Source organism: Homo sapiens, chromosome 7 (genome assembly GCF_000001405.40).
Source record: "Homo sapiens chromosome 7, GRCh38.p14 Primary Assembly".
Taxonomy (NCBI): Eukaryota; Metazoa; Chordata; class Mammalia; order Primates; family Hominidae; genus Homo; species Homo sapiens.
The window spans coordinates 11,395,400-11,414,437 of NC_000007.14; the positions used below are offsets into that span (position 1 = coordinate 11,395,400).

A 19,038-nucleotide genomic window follows, 5' to 3' on the forward strand; every position below is an offset into this window, starting at 1 on the left:
TTAGGCAAATCAATGAGACAGATAATTAATAAGGATATTCAGGACTTGAACTAAGCTGTGGACCAAGGAGACCTAATAGACTTCTACAAAACTCTCCACCCCAAATCAACAGAATATGCATTCTTTTTTTTTTTTTTTTCTTTTTTGAGACAGAATCTTGCTCTGTCACCCAGGCTGTAGTGCAGTGGCACTATCTCAGCTCACTGCAACCTCCACCTCCCAGGTTAAAGTGATTCTCCTGCCTCAGCCTCCCGAGTAGCTGGGACTACAGGCACCCGCCACCATGTCCAGCTGATTATTGTATTTTTAGTAGAGATGGGGTTTCACCATATTGGCCAGGCTGTTCTCAAACTACCGACCTTGTAATCCGCCCGCCTCGGCCTCCCAAAGTGCTGGGATTACAGGCATGAGCCACCGTGCCCGGCCCAGAATATACACTCTTCTCAGCACCACATTGCATTTTTTCTAAAATTGACCACATAGTTGGAGGTAAAACAAACACTCCTTAGAAAATCCAAAAGAACAGAAATCATAACAAACAGTCTCTCAGACACAGTACAATCAAATTAGAAGTCAGGATTAAGAAACCCACTCAAAACCGCTCAACTACATGGAAACTGAACAACCTGCTCCTGAATGACTACTGGGTAAATAACAAAACTAAAGCAGAAATAAGTAAGTAAGTTATTTGAAACCAATGAGTTCAAAGACACAACATACCAGAATCTCTGGCACACAGCTAAAACTGTGTTTAGAGGGAAATTTATAGCACTAAATGCTCACAGGAGAAAGCAGGAAAGATCTAAAATCAACACCTTAACATCACAATTAAAAGAACTAGAGAAGCAAGAGTAAATTCAAAAGCTAGCAGAACTCAAGAAATAACTAAGAGCAGAGCTGAAGGTGATAGAGACATGAAACACCCTTAAAAAAATCAATCAAGGAGCTGTTTTTTTGAAAAGATCAACAATTTAGATATATGGCTAGCCAGACTAAGAAAGAAGAAAAGAGAGAAGAATCAAATAGATTCAATAAAAAATGATAAAGGGGATATCATCACCGATCCCACAGAAATACAAACCACTATCAGAGCATACTATAAACACCTCTACACAAATAAGCTAGAAAATTTAGAAGAGAGAAATTCCTGGAAACATACTCCCTCCCATGACTAAACCAGGAGGAAGCTGAATCCCTGAAGAGACCAATAACAAGTTCTAAAATTGAGGCAGTAATTAGTAGCCTACCAACCACAAAAAGCCCAGGAACAGACAGATCCACAGCCACATTCTACCAGAGGTACAAAGAGGAGCTGGTACCATTCTTTCTGAAACTACTCCACACAATATAAAAAGAGGGACTCCTCCCTAACTCATTTTATGAGGCCACCATCATCCCGATACCAAAACCTGGCAGATACACAATAAAGAGAAACAAATTTCAGGCCAATATCCCTGATGAACATTGATGTGAAAATCCACAATCACATACTGGCACATCGAATCCAGCAGCACATCAAAAAGCTTATCCACCATGATCAAGTCGGCTTCATCCCTGGGATGCAAGGCGGGTTCAACATATGTGAATCAATAAACGTAATCCATCACATAAATAGAACCAATGACAAAAACCACATGATTATCTCAATAGATGCAGAAGAGGCCTTTGACAAAATTCAACACCCCTTCATGCTAAAAACTCTCAATAAACTAGGTATTGATGGAACATATCTCAAAATAATAAGAGCTATTTATGTCAAACCCACAGCCACAGGGCTACAGTAACCAAAACAGCACGGTACTGGTAGCAAAACAGATATAAAAACCAATGGAACACAACCGAGGCCTCAGAAATAATAACACACATCTACAACCATCTGATCTTTGACAAGCCTAAGAAAAGCAATGGGAAAAGGATTCCCTATTTAATAAATGGTGTCGGGAAAACTGGCTAGCCATATGCAGAAAACTGAAACCGGACCCCTTCCTTACACCTTATACAGAAATTCACTCAAGATGGATTAAAGACGTAAACCCAAGACCTAAAACCGTAAAAACCGTAGAAGAAAACCTAGGCAATACTATTCAGGACATAGGCATGGGCAAAGACTTCATGACTAAAACACCAAAAGCAATGGCCACAAAAGCCAAAATTGACAAACGGGATCTAATTAAAGAGCTTCTGCACAGCAAAAGAAACTATCATCAGAGTGAACAGGCAACCTGCTGATTGGGAGAAAAATTTTGCAATCTATCCATCTGACAAGAGGCTAATATCCAGAATCTACAAAGAACTTAAACAAATTTACAAGAAAACAACAACCCCATGAAAAAGTGGGCGAAGAATATGAACAGACACTTCTGAAAAGAAGACATTATGCAGCCAACAAACATGAAAAAAAGCTCATCAACACTGGTCATTAGAGAAATGCAAATCAAAACCACAATGAGATACCATCTCACACCAATTAGAATAGTGATCATTTAAAAGTCAGGAAACAATGGATGCTAGAGAGGATGTGGAGAAACAGGAATGCTTTTACACTGTTGGTGGGACTGTAAATTAGTTCAACCATTGTGGAACACAGCATGGTGATTCCAATGGTGATTCATTGGACCCAGCAATCCCATTACTGGGTATATACACAAAGGATTATAAATCATTCTATTATAAAGACACATGCACATTTATATTTATTGCAGCACTGTTCACAATAGCGAAGACTTGGAACCAACCCAAATGCTCATCAATGATAGACTGGATGAAGAAAATGTGGCACGTATACACCATGGAATAGTATGCAGCCATAAAAAAGGATGAGTTCATGTCCTTTGCAGGGACATGGATGAACCTGGAAACTATCATTCTCAGCAAACTAACACAGAAACAGAAAACCAAACACTGCACGTTCTCATTCATAATTGGGAGTTGAACAATGAGAATACATGGACACAGGGAGGGGAACATCACACACTGGGGCCTGTCGAGGGGTAGGGGCTAGGGGAGGGATAGCATTAGGAGAAATACGTAAAGTAGATGAAGTAGATGATGGATTGATGGGTGCAGCAAATCACCATGGCATGTGTATACCTGTGTAACAAACCTGCACGTTCTGCACATGTACCCCAGAACTTAAAGTATAATTAAAAAAAGAAACTAAATGTAATTCATATTAAGAAAAGAATATGTTCTTATAAAAAAAAAGATTTCACGTAAGTAGGAGTTGAAGTATTGCTCCTCACAAGAGGGCATTAGCTACGGGGGTCTGTCTGCAGACCCTGACCCCAGCGATGGATGAATAAAACGTACACTGACACACAGATATTATCTTTTGCCAGTCCTGCTGAGTGTCTGACCATCTACACACCAGAGAGGTTTGTCACTGCAGCCAGCCCTGATCAGTGAGGGAGACTCACATTTATTAGTTAACAAAAGCTTGAGTCAATGCCATTAGACGGTAATTGACATTGTGGACTTAAAGAGTAAAAAGCATGTATCAAAGGCTCATCTTGAGACCACGTGGGTAAACAAGCTAACTAGATAACTTCCTCACATCCCGTTGTTTACTACTCTAATCTATTTAACTAAAGGTAATGGGACTAGGCCGCCTTCTACCAGGTCTATTACCAAAGTCATGTGAAAACCCTCAGGCCTTCCAAAAGGGTTTTGTGGCTATCATAACTGGTATTTTTCCCACCAGCCTGATCAAATCTCAACAAGGAGTTGTCTGTTTCTTTAAATTTTGGGAAAACTCATAATTAAAGCCATTTAAATTTTAGTTTGTGTGCATATGTGAGTATGTATTTCATAGGTTTGAAAATAGTTATATAATCTATGGTGTAGGTTTTTCATTACTCTTGATAAAATATAACCTTCTAAATTATCTTGACATTTTTACTTCTGTTAGAAAAAGCTATTCACCGAATTATATTCTATTTTTCTAAACTTTATTTTATTTATGGTAATGACAACTTTGCTTTTTTTTTCCTCTTCACTGAATTTGCCATGAGCTGGTCTATTTTGTCAGTTTGCTCTAAAAACAATCTATTGGTTTTGTTGATTATTTTCTGTCTCACTGAATTTATACTCATCCATGTTGGTTGCATTCCATTTCCTTTTTGCTTTTCTTAAAAATTTATTCAGTTGAGACGCATGAAAAAATGCTCATCATCACTGGCCATCAGAGAAATGCAAATCAAAACCACAATGAGATACCATCTCACACCAGTTAGAATGGCGATCATTAAAAAGTCAGGAAACAACAGGTGCTGGAGAGGATCTGGAGAAATAGGAACACTTTTACACTGTTGGTGGGACTGTAAACTAGTTCAGCTATCGTGGAAGACAGTGTGGCGATTCCTCAAGGATCTGGAACTAGAAATACCATTTGACCCAGCCATCCCATTACTGGGTATACGCCCAAAGGACTATAAATCATGCTGCTATAAAGACACATGCACACATACGTTTATTGCGGCACTATTCACAATAGCAAAGACTTGGGACCAACCCAAATGTCCATCAATGATAGACTGGATTAAGAAAATGTGGCACATATACACCATGGAATACTATGCAGCCATAAAAAAGGATGAGTTCATATCCTTTGTAGGGACATGGATGAAGCTGGAAACCATCATTCTGAGCAAACTATGGCAAGGACGAAAAACCAAACACCGCATGTTCTCACTCATAGGTGGGAATTGAACAATGAAAACACTTGGACACAGGAAGGGGAACATCACACACTGCGGCCTGTTATGGGGTCGGGGGAGGGGGGAGGGATAGCATTAGAAGATATACCTAATGTAAATGACGAGTTAATGGGTGCAGCACACCAACATGGCACATGTATACATATGTAACAAACCTGCATGTTGTGCACATGTACCTTAGAACTTAAAGTATAATTAAAAAAATTAAAAAAGAATTTATTCAGTTGAATGCTTAGTTCATTTTTAACTTTTCTCCCTTCTGTAGAAGCGTTTAAAGCTTCAAGATCTCCTCTAGGTACTTCTTTGCTGCATCCCATATAACATTTGCTGGATAATGCTTTAGAGGTATGATTTTACTCTCTAAGGTGTGCGTGTGGAGATCTCTTTTGTCATTGTTCTATTGATTCCTAATTTTATTTCCTTGTCATTTTGGAGTGAATACTTTTCTTTCTTGCCTTGGGAATTATTTTATTTATTGTAACTTTTGACCTTTCTTTACTCTTTACTTATCCTATGCTGGCATATGGAGTGTTTTACCTAGTTGATAAATTTAGGAAGATCAAATTGACAGAGCAGGTAATTCCATCTAATTCTTGGGCTAAGTCATCTAGCCCATTTGGTTTTTACTGCAAGTATTCTTTTCCAACACTTTAAGCTTTTGTCTCCTACTTTTCAGTAAGAAAGGTGATATTTTGTCTCCTACTTGCTACTATGTCATATTACTTATTTCAGAACATCAGCAGCATTAAGGGTTGTTTGTTGAGCCCCACACCCTCTACCAAATAGCAATTCTTTTGTTTTCGAGTCTTCGGGTGTTGTTTCCCAAACCACGACATTTAATGCTGTGATTCTTGAAGATGTATTGCTTACATTGAGTGAATGATTCTATGTGTGTATACGTTCACACAGACATATAAACATAGATGTTTATATATATTCTAAGTAAAATTCAGATTAAAATCAATTTTTACCAATAATTTGATTTATCCATTTGAAAAAATATAGTAAAATCTCACACTTTGCTGTGGATTTGTAATTTTTATTTAATTGTGTCATTTGATTTAAATAAATTGAAGATTGTTAGACTCCTACCTGATCATAATTGTTATAAGCGTACAAATAATGTGCTCCTAATTATCTCAGCCTTCTTGAGCTCATAAAACCGGGAAACATTTTTGCAAAACTCACACCTTATTTATGAAGGGTGGCAGGATGTTCCATCTTTCCAATCTTTAGAATTCAGAATCTTCCCCTTACTTTAGTCCTCAGCCTCAAGTGACATCTGAGTAAATTTTTAAATTATTTATTTATTTATTTTTGAGATGGAATTTCACTCTTGTTGCCCAGGCTGGAGTGCAGTGGTGCAATCTCGGCTCACTGCAGTCTCTGGCCTCCCGGGATCAAGTGATTCTCCTGCCTCAGCCTCCTGAGTAGCTTGGATTACAGGAGCCTGACACCATGCATAATTTTTTTTTTGGTAGAGTTTGGGTTTGGCCATGTTGGCCAGGCTGGTCTCACAACTCCTGGCCTCAGGTGATCCGCCCACCTAGGCCTCCCAAAGCGTTGGGATTACAGGCGTGAGCCACCGCACGTGGCCAACTTTGTTTATTTTTAACAGACTATTTTTTTTTTAATCTTATGCTTTTGCTTAAGATAGAGTATATGAACGGTAGCACTCACCATAACATGATTTTGTTTCTAACATCTGCTCTGGGCACAGATGCTGATTCTCTAGTTCTTGTATAATCACCGGTCTGGATCTGACCTGTATTCCACCAAAGCCTAGATCCTCACCATTCACACAGGTCAGCTGACACAGGCTCCAGGAAGACCAGTCCTTCAAATAACAGTCACCTGTAAAACACATATTTGTAATTTACACCCATATCCACAGAGAAAAGCCAGCCCGATAATCATTTTAATTCCAACCCCAGTAGGCAATGTTTCTGGTATCCCAGGCACACATAATATTTATAAGATTTAAATAAGCATTTAATATTTGTAAATTTGTAATTGTATAACTTTGTATATGTATTGTTATTTTCCGTATGGCTATTACTGGTCTATGTGTTGCTTAATGATATCAAAGGTAAATTGTGGCTGACAGGAGCTCATCCACCGTAATTCATCTCTTCTTAGGATACAACAAATATTTGATCAAAACCTACTATCATTCTTGTCATTATCATAGTAAAGTGGTTTATTACACATGAGTTACACTCAAAGAAAGCCTAAATATAAACAGAATTAGTCTTCTAGGTATTCACAATTTTGAAAAGTTTGAAATCCAAGGCCGACAGAGCTGGTTTTATGTTTTCATTCCTATTTCTTCCCAGATGAGTGGAGGTGAGAGAGACAACTGAGCAGTTGCAGTACTGGAAATAATGCTCACTATTTCCTCTGATCTACATCCTCAATCAACTTCTCTTTAAAATATTGATTTATTGAAGGATAACAAACATGTAAAATGATCACATATCATAGATGCACAGATGATAGCTGAATTTCGATAATCTGATTATATAACCATGTGATCAACACCCAAATCAAGGAACAGAACATTCCCAGGATCTCAAAACCCTCCCTTGTGTGATATATGAAATCATACCATATGTACTTTTTGGTGTCTGGCTTCTTTCTCTCATTTATGTTTGTGAAATCCATCATACATTTATGAAGTTCTAATTTCTTCATTCGTACAACTTTCCATTGTGTGAATATATCATAATTTAGATATCCATTCTACTACTGATGGGCATGTGGGGAGTTGTAAATTTTTCCCATCATGTTATTGTAAACATTTCAGTACAAGTCTTTTGATGAACTTATATATGCATTTCTGTTGGGTATGTACCTAGGAGTGCAATTGCTGGGCCATAGTGCATCCATGCTTCCAAAATCTTTAGCCATTTTAAGAACAGAAAAGATTTTATGAAATACACCCTTTCCATTAACCCATCCATTCTTCAGAGTGACTGCTTAGTGATACTCTTCAGAGTACACAGTCAATTATGATAGACACAAATTCACAAGGGTTTCTTATCACTTATTTATTATAGCCAGGTCATATGAATAATTCATATTGCCTTATATTATGCTGAAGGTGACTGGTATTAGCAGAAAGTTGCCTGGAGATCTGATTAATGGAAAAACTTCTTGTGTCATGCCTAAGAAGTCCTGGTAAGACATGAATTATTGACTAACATATATATACGTAATAGCAAAATGGAGTGATTTTTGTAGGCCTTTATTAAAGAATGTAATTGGTACTCCTGAAGTACAGAAAGTTCTAGTAAATTTTGGAAATGCAAAGGAAAAAGAAACTAGAAAGAATTTCTAAATAGTCTGAGAAAGTTTTAGAAACGCTTTTATTTCCTAGGAAATGTCACTTTGGAGTTACTCAGTTTTTAATTATGTAGGAAAACTGCTAAAGTTAAAAAAATTCCTGTCAATATGAATGTAATAAAATTTCACCTCAGTGATTGAAAATTACATGGAAAGAAAACATACCTTTTCACCAGTAGGCTTTATCTTTGTGGCAATTCACATTTAGCATCATTTATTTTGCAACAAAATGTAATAAATCTTTTAATGATAGTCTGTGAGTTATGTAATTTTCGCCCCTAAGTAATACATGTCAGGCTTCAAAGATTTAATAACAGCAAATGAGAGTGAGATACTCCCTTGTCCTAAACACACTTTTCTATTTTGACCATGTAAACCATTGTAATAACAATAAAATTACCCGATGCCTGCCAAAGATATGACAATTAAACACATGAGATGTATTTCCTAATTTAGTATTCTACTCTTTAAAGCTTATTAGTTCACATACTGCCAGCTTTCAAAACCCATCATTAGAGAAAACTAGCAAGAGAGGAACTGAAATGAATAGATTGTAATTTAGAAGAGAAGAGCAGCCTCCTAGATTTGCAATTACTTTAATTAAAACAATGTGTTTGCTCTATGTTATCATGGGATCCTGTAATTTTCCTTCACATCATTTACCACAGGTTATAATCTTATATATTATATATTATTGTCACTATTAGATTAGCAATTGTTCTTTCCATTAGAAAGTAAGCTGTACAAGGACAGGGTCTCTTGGTCTGCACTGTATCTCTGGCCTCAAGTCCAGGGCTTGACCTGTAATTACATTTGATAAGTAACAGTCAAATGAGTGAGTGTGTGTGCTGCAGAAAGTATAATGAAATCATGTGAGGAGTGTCCATAGTAAGGCATATACCACAGTCTGACAAGGATGCCCGTTCTGCTCAATGGTGTGAATGTCACAACAATCCTATTACTGGTGCTGGAGATTTGGTTTTGGAAAAGTAGGCCTTACAACTTTTAGCCAAGGGTCACTTTTTGTTGCCTCTATGGCCATTCAGTACATCAAGGTCCAAAGGTTCAGTCCTTGGCCCTGCCTGGAGCTGTCACCTGCTGCCACAGCCTTAGGCTGGGTCTGCAGTGAAGCAAAATGATTTTATTGAATTGTGTGTGAGATCTTAAATGATATCAGACTAGTTTCAGCAGCAGGAAGTGAAAGGGGAATTGCTGGCTCAGCAAAAGGTTGTTGGCAGCAACACTTTGCCTGGCTTTAGAAAGTCAGATTTTCTTTTCTTTTACTTTATTTTTAAATTTTATTTTATTCTATTTTATTTTTTATTGTGATAAGACCATTTAACATGAGATCTACCCACTTAACACATTTTTAGGTATACAATACAGTATTGTTAACTACAGGCACTATGTCTTAGAACGGATCTCTAGAACTTATTCACCTTGCATAGCTGAACCTTTACACTCATTGAGAAGGAGCTGCTATTCAGATTTTTGGTTTTTAAAAATAGTTTAGTTCTTGACCTGAAGTAGATGAAAATATCCATGTGTGCAAAGATCAATACAATAGTTGGATATTTTCAGAGTCTAGGGGGCTTGTCCTCAAAATAACCCCTATCAGGGTTATTTTATTTACTGTTCAATTTCATTCAGTTCATCTTAAACTATACCCTACCATTTTTATCATCTCAAATGATTTTTTTTTTTTTTTACGAAGGAATAAGTAACTCGATGAGTGAATAAATAGCTAGCCCATGTCAGTTTTTCCAGGTTTTAGGGACTCAATCCCATTTACAAATTTTTGTTGATATATGTTATCCACTTTTAAAATTTTCTTAAATCACATCCTTTTATATAGAAAATGTGTTTTATGCCCCATTATTTTTGCCAAATCCTTAATTTTTAATATTTTGAGGTCACATTCAAAAGAAAATATTGTGAAAGAGATGCAATCTTTAAATCATAATTATAAGCAAATTGGGAGAATACAAATTTTCCACTTGGGGATAAAATACAGGTAATTCATTTTCAATCTGTTCATTTCCAGTCCACTAATAAATTGTTGCCCCTATCTATACCTTGTTCAAGGATGGGTTTTCTGGCATATTTTGACATTAAATTTCCTCTACAATTCTCTGCATCAAGCCCAAATTCATAAATATTAGCTTATCACTGTCTGCCATTTTTTCCATACTATTTGATAAACAAAATTTTCTTTCTACTTTTACTGCATGCACTCATTGTGTCTAACACTGAATCTGAATAATATCTTTCAATAGTTTCCTCCATACTGCTATTTTGTCTTCCAGTTGTAGATAATCTGTTATTTTCTTACTGAAGACTTTACTAATTATTTTTCTATATTTTATGTTTTGACTACATTTATCTAGGTATGAGTTTGTTGTTCATTCTACCCTGGACCCAGGGTAAGCTGTTATTATGAGGACTTAATCTGTTTTTAGCCATTATGTATTTAAACATTGGCCTCTCTTTCTCTCTTCTGGAAATCCCGAATAGGTTATGTTTTGTCCTTATTTTCTCATCTTTTATTTCATAACTTTTCTGTGGAGCATGGGCTTAAGGCCTTAAATACCATCTCCTGCAGATGTTAAAACTCCAGAGGGTGTTGAGAGGCCACATGGGAGACCTGGACTTCAACCCTACCTGGCAGTAATGAGACAGCGTCCCGTTCCCCACAGGCATAGTGTTGAGCTGTTGGCATAGATATTACTGAATAAGAAGACTGTTGACATCCTGTAACTTATACTTTATATGCAACCCCTTCACGGCCCTTGTCCTAGGAAAAAATAATCAGAATATGAATTCTCCTTTGCCGTTGTTACCTGGGCAAGGCTGGCTGCAGGATTCCTCCAGAACCATATTTTTATTACCATCTATAATGAGTTCAATGTCAGCACAGAATTCCTCATCCACCACTTTGCTGAAATCATCAGCTGACCCATCACTTACTACACAAGAAATGTTCCTTGTTCTGGTCCCTTCTCCACACTGGGCCTCCTGGAATGGAGGAAGAAATAACTAATTAGAAAAAGAGAAATACTTCATTAGAGAGCTCATCACTTAGTTATCTCTGCACCACTGACTTTGATTTATGAACATTTAGAGAAGGATTTGAAACCCTAGGGAAGAAGCCCTATAGGGCACTAGCAATAAAGCATACATTGAACAATTTGTTTCCTAGCTAAAGACAGGAAAATAAATTTTCATTAAAATGAATCAGTCTCCAAATGATTTTAAAAATATAGGGCATGGAGTTTTTGTTATCAAAACTAATTAAATGGTTATAAAATGGCAAGTACATACAAATTTTAAGAAGCTTGTCATCTGTGAGCTCTGAAACATATTTCTAACACATTATTTTTATGTTTTTCTGCAGATGAAGTCTCTGCAGATAGAGTACACACTTCCTGACAACTTCTTGAGATTTGATACCTGCACTTGGCATGGAGACCACTGGCCATATTGCCACCGATAACAAGGCTTCACTGGGCAGGGTTTGGACTGGTCCATCAGGGAAGGGCATGGTCTTCCATCACCTTGAAAGGGCTGGGTCACTGTTCGTCTTCGGATCATTTTTCCTTGAAGAGATACAAAGTGATGCACCTTTAATATATGTTATGGTTTTGCAAGCATATATCTCATTGGGAGAAGGCATCACAGTGATATCTCCTGAGGCAATCCAGGAACAAGTAAGGCTTAGATGTTTTGCAAAGAAAGACAACCAATCCAACCTTTCTGAAGATTATTTGATATGGGTTAAAGCAAGAGGGATATTTTATTTCATATTCCTTGACCAGTAGCCTAATATAAGTTATGGTACAAACAAACCTGTGAGGCCACATGTTTGAGAACATTCTGACCAAGGAGACCAATCAGAAAGCTGACAGTTCACAGGGCATTCCACCATGCAGGACGTGTTCATCTGCCAGTTCTTCTCCAAGCCAAGCTGGAAGAACAGAGGTAGATCAGGATGTATATTGTAAATTGGGGGAGGGAGCCAGAGAATGAGGTGACAAGAAAGAAGAGAAGGAGGGAGAAAAAGCAAGCCACATAAGAGAATAAAATGTTACCTGGAGGACAAACATCCAAACTATTGAAAGTATAAAGTGGTTTGACCTAGGAGAGTGGAAGTTAGGGGCACAGGATGAAAGAAGGGGCCCATTGAATCTATACTTATGTATTGTTTAAGTGTTTTCAATAAGCAATGTAGAAAAGTAGATTTAACCTCCAAATTGGTTGAATTTCCCTAAATGAGGAACAAGTAAATATAAGCATAAATACTTTCCATTAGGTAAAAACTAGTATCATCAATATTTTGATCTACAACTGTATCTTAGGGATATTATTTATTTTTACATATCTTAAACTGAAAAGCAAAAGGAAAAGGTTCTAAACATAAATTCATACTCAAAACTAATGATATCATGTATTGAAATAATATAAAGTATCAGCTATCTTTTAAAAAAAGAAATATGGGTCACCAAAGTTTTTTTTTGATTATGAATATTTTATGTGCATTTTTTAAAACAAAGATTTTCACTTCTAAAACTTAACTGTGGTATAATTCAGTTATGTTGGTGTCAAACCTTCTCATCAGATAATAATGTTGTGCCATTTTATTGGCATTTGGGTTCCATTACTTAAATATTCTGCTTTAAAAATATAAGATGAGGTTTCAAATTCTTCTACTGTATATTCCAACATTTAAAATCTCTATGGTACAAAGTAGTATTGAAATAGGAAAATGTTGGCCGGGTGCGGTGGCTCATGCCTGTAATCCCAGCACTTTGGGAGACCGAGGTGGGCGGATCACCTGAAAGCATGATGGCCAACATTGCGAAACCTCACCTCTACTAAAAAAAATATAAAAATTAGCTGGGATTGGTGGTGCATGACTGTAGTCCCAGCTACTTGGGAGGCTGAGGCAGGAGAATTGCTTGAACCCAGGACGTGGAGGTTGCAGTGAGCTGAGATGGCACCACTGCACTCCAGGCTGGGCAATAGAGCAAGACTCTGTCTCCAAAATAAAAAAAAAAAAATGAAAAGAAAGAAAAAGAAATAGGAAAATGTAAGAGCTTGTTAGGAGAATATAAGTTTTTAAAACTAGTAATTCTTGGAATTTCCAAGACCTTTTTTATTTCTGCATGAAAGAGAAGTTTATATTTTCTAATTTATACAGCAGATAATGGCAAAAATTTATTTTGAAACATTACGTTGTGTTTCAAGTATAGCTCTTAGCTCTAAGTTATCCACTGAGAGAGGATCAGATCAAAGCTTTGTGTAATACATCTCTCTGCAGGCACTCCCATTATATTCTACACCAGTAATACTTGACAGAGCTGAGTATTTGGTATGAAAACTTTTACCATATCACTCAATCGAAGCCTCATAAAGCCACTTAAAAGTCATGGGAGGTTGGAGATAGGAATCTTGAGGTGATATGATAAAAATAAGTGTTACATTTAAGGTAAATAATAGTTTCATGGGGACAGTTTGAATCACAGGATTCAATTATTACTGACTTACATATCCACCACTTACACATTTTAGTCCTGTACTACTTTTTTCCTTACATTGATCATATCTCTCTTTTAATTTGCTCTCTCATTTACCTAAATGTGTGTGTAAATAAATTAAAAAGAAATCTATTCAAAAATCTAAGAAATAGGAAAGAAAAAACCAATTACTAGGTATCCAATGAGTAAATGTCTGAAAAACACTGAAGATAAAAATAATACTACATAAATGCTAGTTAGGTTTAACTCTAATTTTCCTCTTTGTTAGATAACAATGCCATCTTTCTTTGTGGCTGTTAGGGAAGCAGCCAGTGTTACCTACTGATGTGGCACTGAATGCAGGGTTGCACAGTCGAATTTTAAGTCCTTGAAGACAGTGTTTGCTAGAATGTTAAAACTAGGAGTCCCTAATTGCCATGCAACATTCAAATATTGTAGTATTTGCATGTAAGCTTAAAGTCATCTAGGCTCCCATATAATTAAAATTAGTTATTTCCCAGGTTTTTACTCATATTCGATGTAAGAAATCAAGAATTCGGTTTCCAGCTTTGTCCTTTAATCATATGAAATGGTTTAAAATTGGTCATGTATGCTTAGGTTTCAGCTTTCGCAAAGCTCTCATTTATTTTATATTTCATTCCGACCAAGGAGTACATTTATGTGTGCAGAAAAAAGGACATACTAATCAACCAGAAGTAGATCACAGCAAGCTCTCCAGCCAGTATATGACCATTATCTTCATTAATACTGATGTTCTTTTTTTTTTGAGATGGAGTTTTGCTCTTGTTGCCCAGGCTGGAGTGCAGTGGTGTGATCTTGACTCATGGCATCCTCTGCCTCCTGGGTTCAAGCGATTCTCCTGCCTTAGCCTCCTGAGTAGCTGGGATTACAGGCATGTGCCACCACGCCCGGCTAATTTTGTATTTTTAGTAGAGATGGGGTTTCTCCATGTTGGTCAGGCTGGTCCTGAACCCCCGACCTCAGGTGATCCGCCCGACTGAGCCTCCCAAAGTGCTGGGATTAGAGGCTTGAGCCACCCTACTCGGCTCAATACTGACATTATTCTCATAATGGTTATATTGCTTCAATGTTATTGGTTATGAAACTAAAATGATTCAAGTGTGAAATTTCTAATTATTCAAGTTTAAATAATGAATACATTAGGTAACGTTACAAGGTTATTGCAGGAGGCATTTATTAACTAAACAAATTTGTGTTTTCAACACATGTGGGTGCTCTGCTCTCATGAACGGAGATGTAAGAAAGTTAAGTTAGGTCCACATGATAAACATATCAAATGAATTAAAATATTTCTGTGTAGAGTTTTCCCCTAGGTATAGGAACAATTTACTGTGGGCTATAATAACCCCAGGATGTGTAGACAGAAGACACATGGTGTCTGTGTATACTAAACTCTAATGAGGTTACAAACCACTTCTACTCTATTCCAGATCTATTGAGGCTCCTACTTATCTTGGTTGGTATTTGACCCAGTGGACCTCAGATGCATGGAGAGTCAACATTTGTCATGTTTTTGGTATGGAAATTAGATAAAATTATTACAACATAAAGTGTAGCTTCATAAAAACTAAGAAAGGACAAATACGTTTCTTCACATTTCAGACGCTCACATCTAGGTGTGACATTACTTTAATCAATTAGATAATACCAGTTACAATTCTCTGTACCTAGAAGATAGTAATGGCTGACTTCATTCCTCTGTTTGAATTTCAGGCTTTCACTTAATCAGACCTGAGTACTTAGATGGTCACAGCTGGGTATTAGATCCTAATATCAAAATCTGCTATGAAACCACATGTGATCAATGTTTAGCAACAAAGAGAATAAATGATGGACCTTGGCAGGTGTCCCAGGCACTACACAAAATTCACATCACATTACAAAGATGATAAGTAGTCTGATTAAAATTTATTGCTTTTATTCACCTTACGTATTGTTCCCCAAGCATTTCTTTCAGAATAGGCTAATTAGCATACCTTTGGGCTCCAAGCAGAAGAAAATACAGGAAATTATATGTAGGAATCAGTAGTGTTGGACATTGTGTCTTTTCAAGAACATACTTAGCCTGTGAACAGTGCAGAAAAACATCTGCTGGCAATGAGCTGCATGGAGCACGGGTCACTTGGCTCAGCATGAATTGAAATTATTAGGGAAGAATTTACTCGCGAAGATATAACACAGCATCCACCTACCGCTTCACAATATTTCAGGTCAACTGACTTGCCATCACTTCGAACACAATCCAACATCCTTGTTTTTATTCCATTTCCACAAACTGCCTTCTCACTCAGCTGACATGTACTCCAGTCTGAAAAAAAGGGAAGCCCATCAGAACAGAAGGCTAAGTAAGAAACAGATTTCAAATGAAACTCTGATGACCTGAATCCCATATTTAATTCACAACTGCTTCCTAAGCCCCATAATCAATCATCCCCCATGCAGAGCATATGGGTCCCAGCTTTGAACGTATCAGGAGTCAAATGGAATTGCTGGGGTTGCACATAGCTACAGGGATTATTCTTAAAGGCAGATGTCTACTTGAAAATCTTGATAGCTAGCCGTTTGGTGACACTGTGAAAATGGCTTTGGCTTACAGATCAATGTCACTTAAAAACTTTCTTTCCCAATAAAAATATAATTTAAAATCTTAGCATTACTTTTAGCCAAATAATCATAATTGTGACAGACGGTACTTTAACTGTGTAGTTATATTCAGATAAAACATACATTTTATTTCTTATCCATATTTAGAATGCAAGAAAATGCATACGTTTATTAAAGTGATAAAAATCACTTTGGCCATATTTATTCATTCTCTTATGTCTTTCGTAAGAAGACATAAAAGACACCTCTTTCCCTGGGTAACATAGCACATCCCAGATAACTGTGATTTTTTTTTTTTGTATCATCAAAGGAAACTGAAGAGAAAAACCAAAAGAAACAAAGCCAATATGACTGTTATGTGTCATTGTACAGTTTCTTGAGTTTGTTGCAGAGTGAAAATTACTTGGGAAAAATTCCAAAGTAAGCTTTCGTGTTGCCCCAATTCATATAAACCAATAAAAGATTTTCTTTCCTAGAGTATGCACCTTGATGGTATTAAATGAGTTTTAGGGGAAAAATGCAACTTATAATAAATCTGTTTTTCTGAAAATACTCATCAATTTTTACCTGCACCTTTTATAGCATTGATTTATAATCTTTGGCAAGTTTAAGATTGCTGACTAATCATGTTTATAAACTGCCCACACCTCATGAATTGTTGCCCCAGTATGTTTTAGCAATTAAGCATCTTCTGAAAAAGAAAGACATTTTTGAATAAATCTGATACCTGTGCCAAAAATATTTTAGATTCACCTTCCCGAAGTGAGAGGTTGTCTTATGTAGGAACACTTAGTATATTCACAACCTACTTTAAGGGCTAATGTCTGTTGACATTTTTATTTCCTCTATCTTAGTGTTTACTAAAAAAAAAACCCAGATAAGTATTTCTGTCATTTAATATGTAATTATTTCTGGGAAAGTAAGCAGCATATCCAAAAGGCACACAGGTAGAGATGAACTATACTGACAGGAATGCTTCAGAGCTGACAGACACAGGATTTGGACTTAACTCCGTGATCAGATGATGATCCATGTACCTGTTACATTATAATCATAGTGGTAGCAGTTTTTGTTCAGGTTACAGGGTTCTTTCTCAACAGCATTAGGGCAAGATCTTCCTTCATCAGCTGGTTGTCTGATGGGATCAGCTGACCTTTGCCGGAAACTGCTTTGATTGCAAGGCTTAAAAAGAACAGTACAAATTCTCAGAAAGGTGAATACTCAGCTACACAACTGGTATATTAGAGACAGCACTGGAGCAGGAGTTAGAACATTTGGGCCACTGGCTAACTCAGAAAAGTCAGTCAACCTCATTATGCCTCAGTTGTTCAATGTATAAAATGAAGGTGTTGAATGAGATTTTGATGTACCATCTAGCTATAAGATGCCATGTGTCAAATGTTAATACACACATCACCTCACACCTATACACAGCCACACATATGGTGGTCATATTAATTATTATGCTATTATATATATAAAGTTATATGTGTATTATTATATATATAATTATATGTTTGTGGATTACGTATAGTCTTTTGGGCCTTAAAAGACATTTTAAGAATAACTTTAAATGACTAGGTGTTAGTGACTTTCCTTTTCCTGATGCACACATATACATGCATATAAACAATTCTAATTCTAAATCCTAATTTTAATTCTTAATTTAGAATTGAGAAAAAAAAATAAAGTTCTAAGACCTGCAACTGACCAAATGGACCCCCTCTTGGCCATAGGGACCACAGAGAAACCTTGAAAACTGAGTTCTCGGCCTTTAGGCGTTCTTCCGTAAGGGTTATACAGAAACAAGCCCTTTGGAAAAACTCACTCTGCACCTGATCAACCAATTGTCTTGAAACTGCCTTTGCAAAAATTATAACAGTAAGAAAATTATGGCAGTAAAAGAGATCTGATCTAACCCACCTTCATCTCGCTTTTCTCTTAGTTATTCCTGGGTTTTCGGGGTGAGCTAACTTCAAGAAACATTTACTTTATAGTTTAAATAACAGGCTTTTCCCCAAACCCAAGTGCCTTTGTAAAGCTAATGAAAGGCCATCAGGCTGGGAGAGGAGAGGAACCTGAATTCTGCTAAGGTGTAGACATAAATGATTGCTAGCTACTCCTGCAGATGACACCACTATAGTAGATTGGCCTTTGAGATATCTTTTCCATTTTTTTGCATGTCTAACACCCAGGGCTCTACCTGGACCTGCCAACCCAGTTCCTGTGCGCCCCTCAGAAGAATTCAGCCTGCAGGAGGACAGCTTTGACCCCTGTGATTTCATCTCTGCCCCAACCAATCAGCAGCAAGCACCCATTCCCTGGCAGTCCCACCCCTTCCCCCAAACTGCCTTTGAAAAACCCCTACCTAGGAGCCTTAGACAATATTGATTTGAGTACTAACTCCATCTTCCATGTGGCATGGCTGGCCTTATGTCTATTAAACTCTTTCTTTACTGCAATACCCTGGTCTTTATTTGTGCAGCAGGCAGGAAGAACCCCATGGGTGGTTACAGCCTGACACTGCCTCTCCCTTTTATGGTTGCAACAAAACAACCAACCAGCATTTCTTCCTAATAAGAAACCACTGACCAAGGAGTGGTTCTGGGTAGTCCATGGAGGATGTACAGTAAGGGTTTCTGTGACCTCTGTTTCACCTTTTGACATTAGAGCACTGAAAATCCCACCCTTGGATCATGCTAATGCCACCATTTTTGGTACGTGGGACACGAGGGGGCATAAAGCTCAATTGCACATGCATACTCTTTGTTTTTTATAAATATTCATGACTCCTCATATAGCTTATTAAATATGTATAT

At 37.0% G+C, this 19,038-nt stretch overlaps 1 protein-coding gene across 6 annotated transcripts in view, besides 1 other annotated feature; it reads right to left on the bottom strand.

Moving 5' to 3' along the window:
* Positions 1 to 19,038, bottom strand: part of THSD7A (thrombospondin type 1 domain containing 7A) — a 461,834-nt gene that overhangs the window by 25,035 nt on the left and 417,761 nt on the right. For all 6 annotated transcript variants that reach the window (XM_006715662.2, XM_006715660.2, XM_006715659.2 and 3 more), the window contains 6 exons: positions 17,257 to 17,401; positions 15,808 to 15,923; positions 11,907 to 12,024; positions 11,511 to 11,656; positions 10,901 to 11,075; positions 6,396 to 6,569 (listed from right to left, as the gene is read on the bottom strand). In XM_006715662.2, the coding sequence (XP_006715725.1) occupies positions 6,396 to 6,569; positions 10,901 to 11,075; positions 11,511 to 11,656; positions 11,907 to 12,024; positions 15,808 to 15,923; positions 17,257 to 17,401 (874 nt within the window). The remainder of the gene's footprint in view (positions 1 to 6,395; positions 6,570 to 10,900; positions 11,076 to 11,510; positions 11,657 to 11,906; positions 12,025 to 15,807; positions 15,924 to 17,256; positions 17,402 to 19,038) is intronic.
* Positions 14,548 to 14,755: a silencer, noted in NCBI's record as "fragment chr7:11449574-11449781 (GRCh37/hg19 assembly coordinates)". NCBI's record gives its function as "represses an EF-1alpha promoter that drives an FKBP-Casp9 reporter gene in an ReSE screen in phorbol 12-myristate 13-acetate-treated (for megakaryocytic differentiation) K562 erythroleukemia cells {active_cell/tissue: K562(+PMA)}" and the evidence as "EXISTENCE:reporter gene assay evidence [ECO:0000049][PMID:32094911]".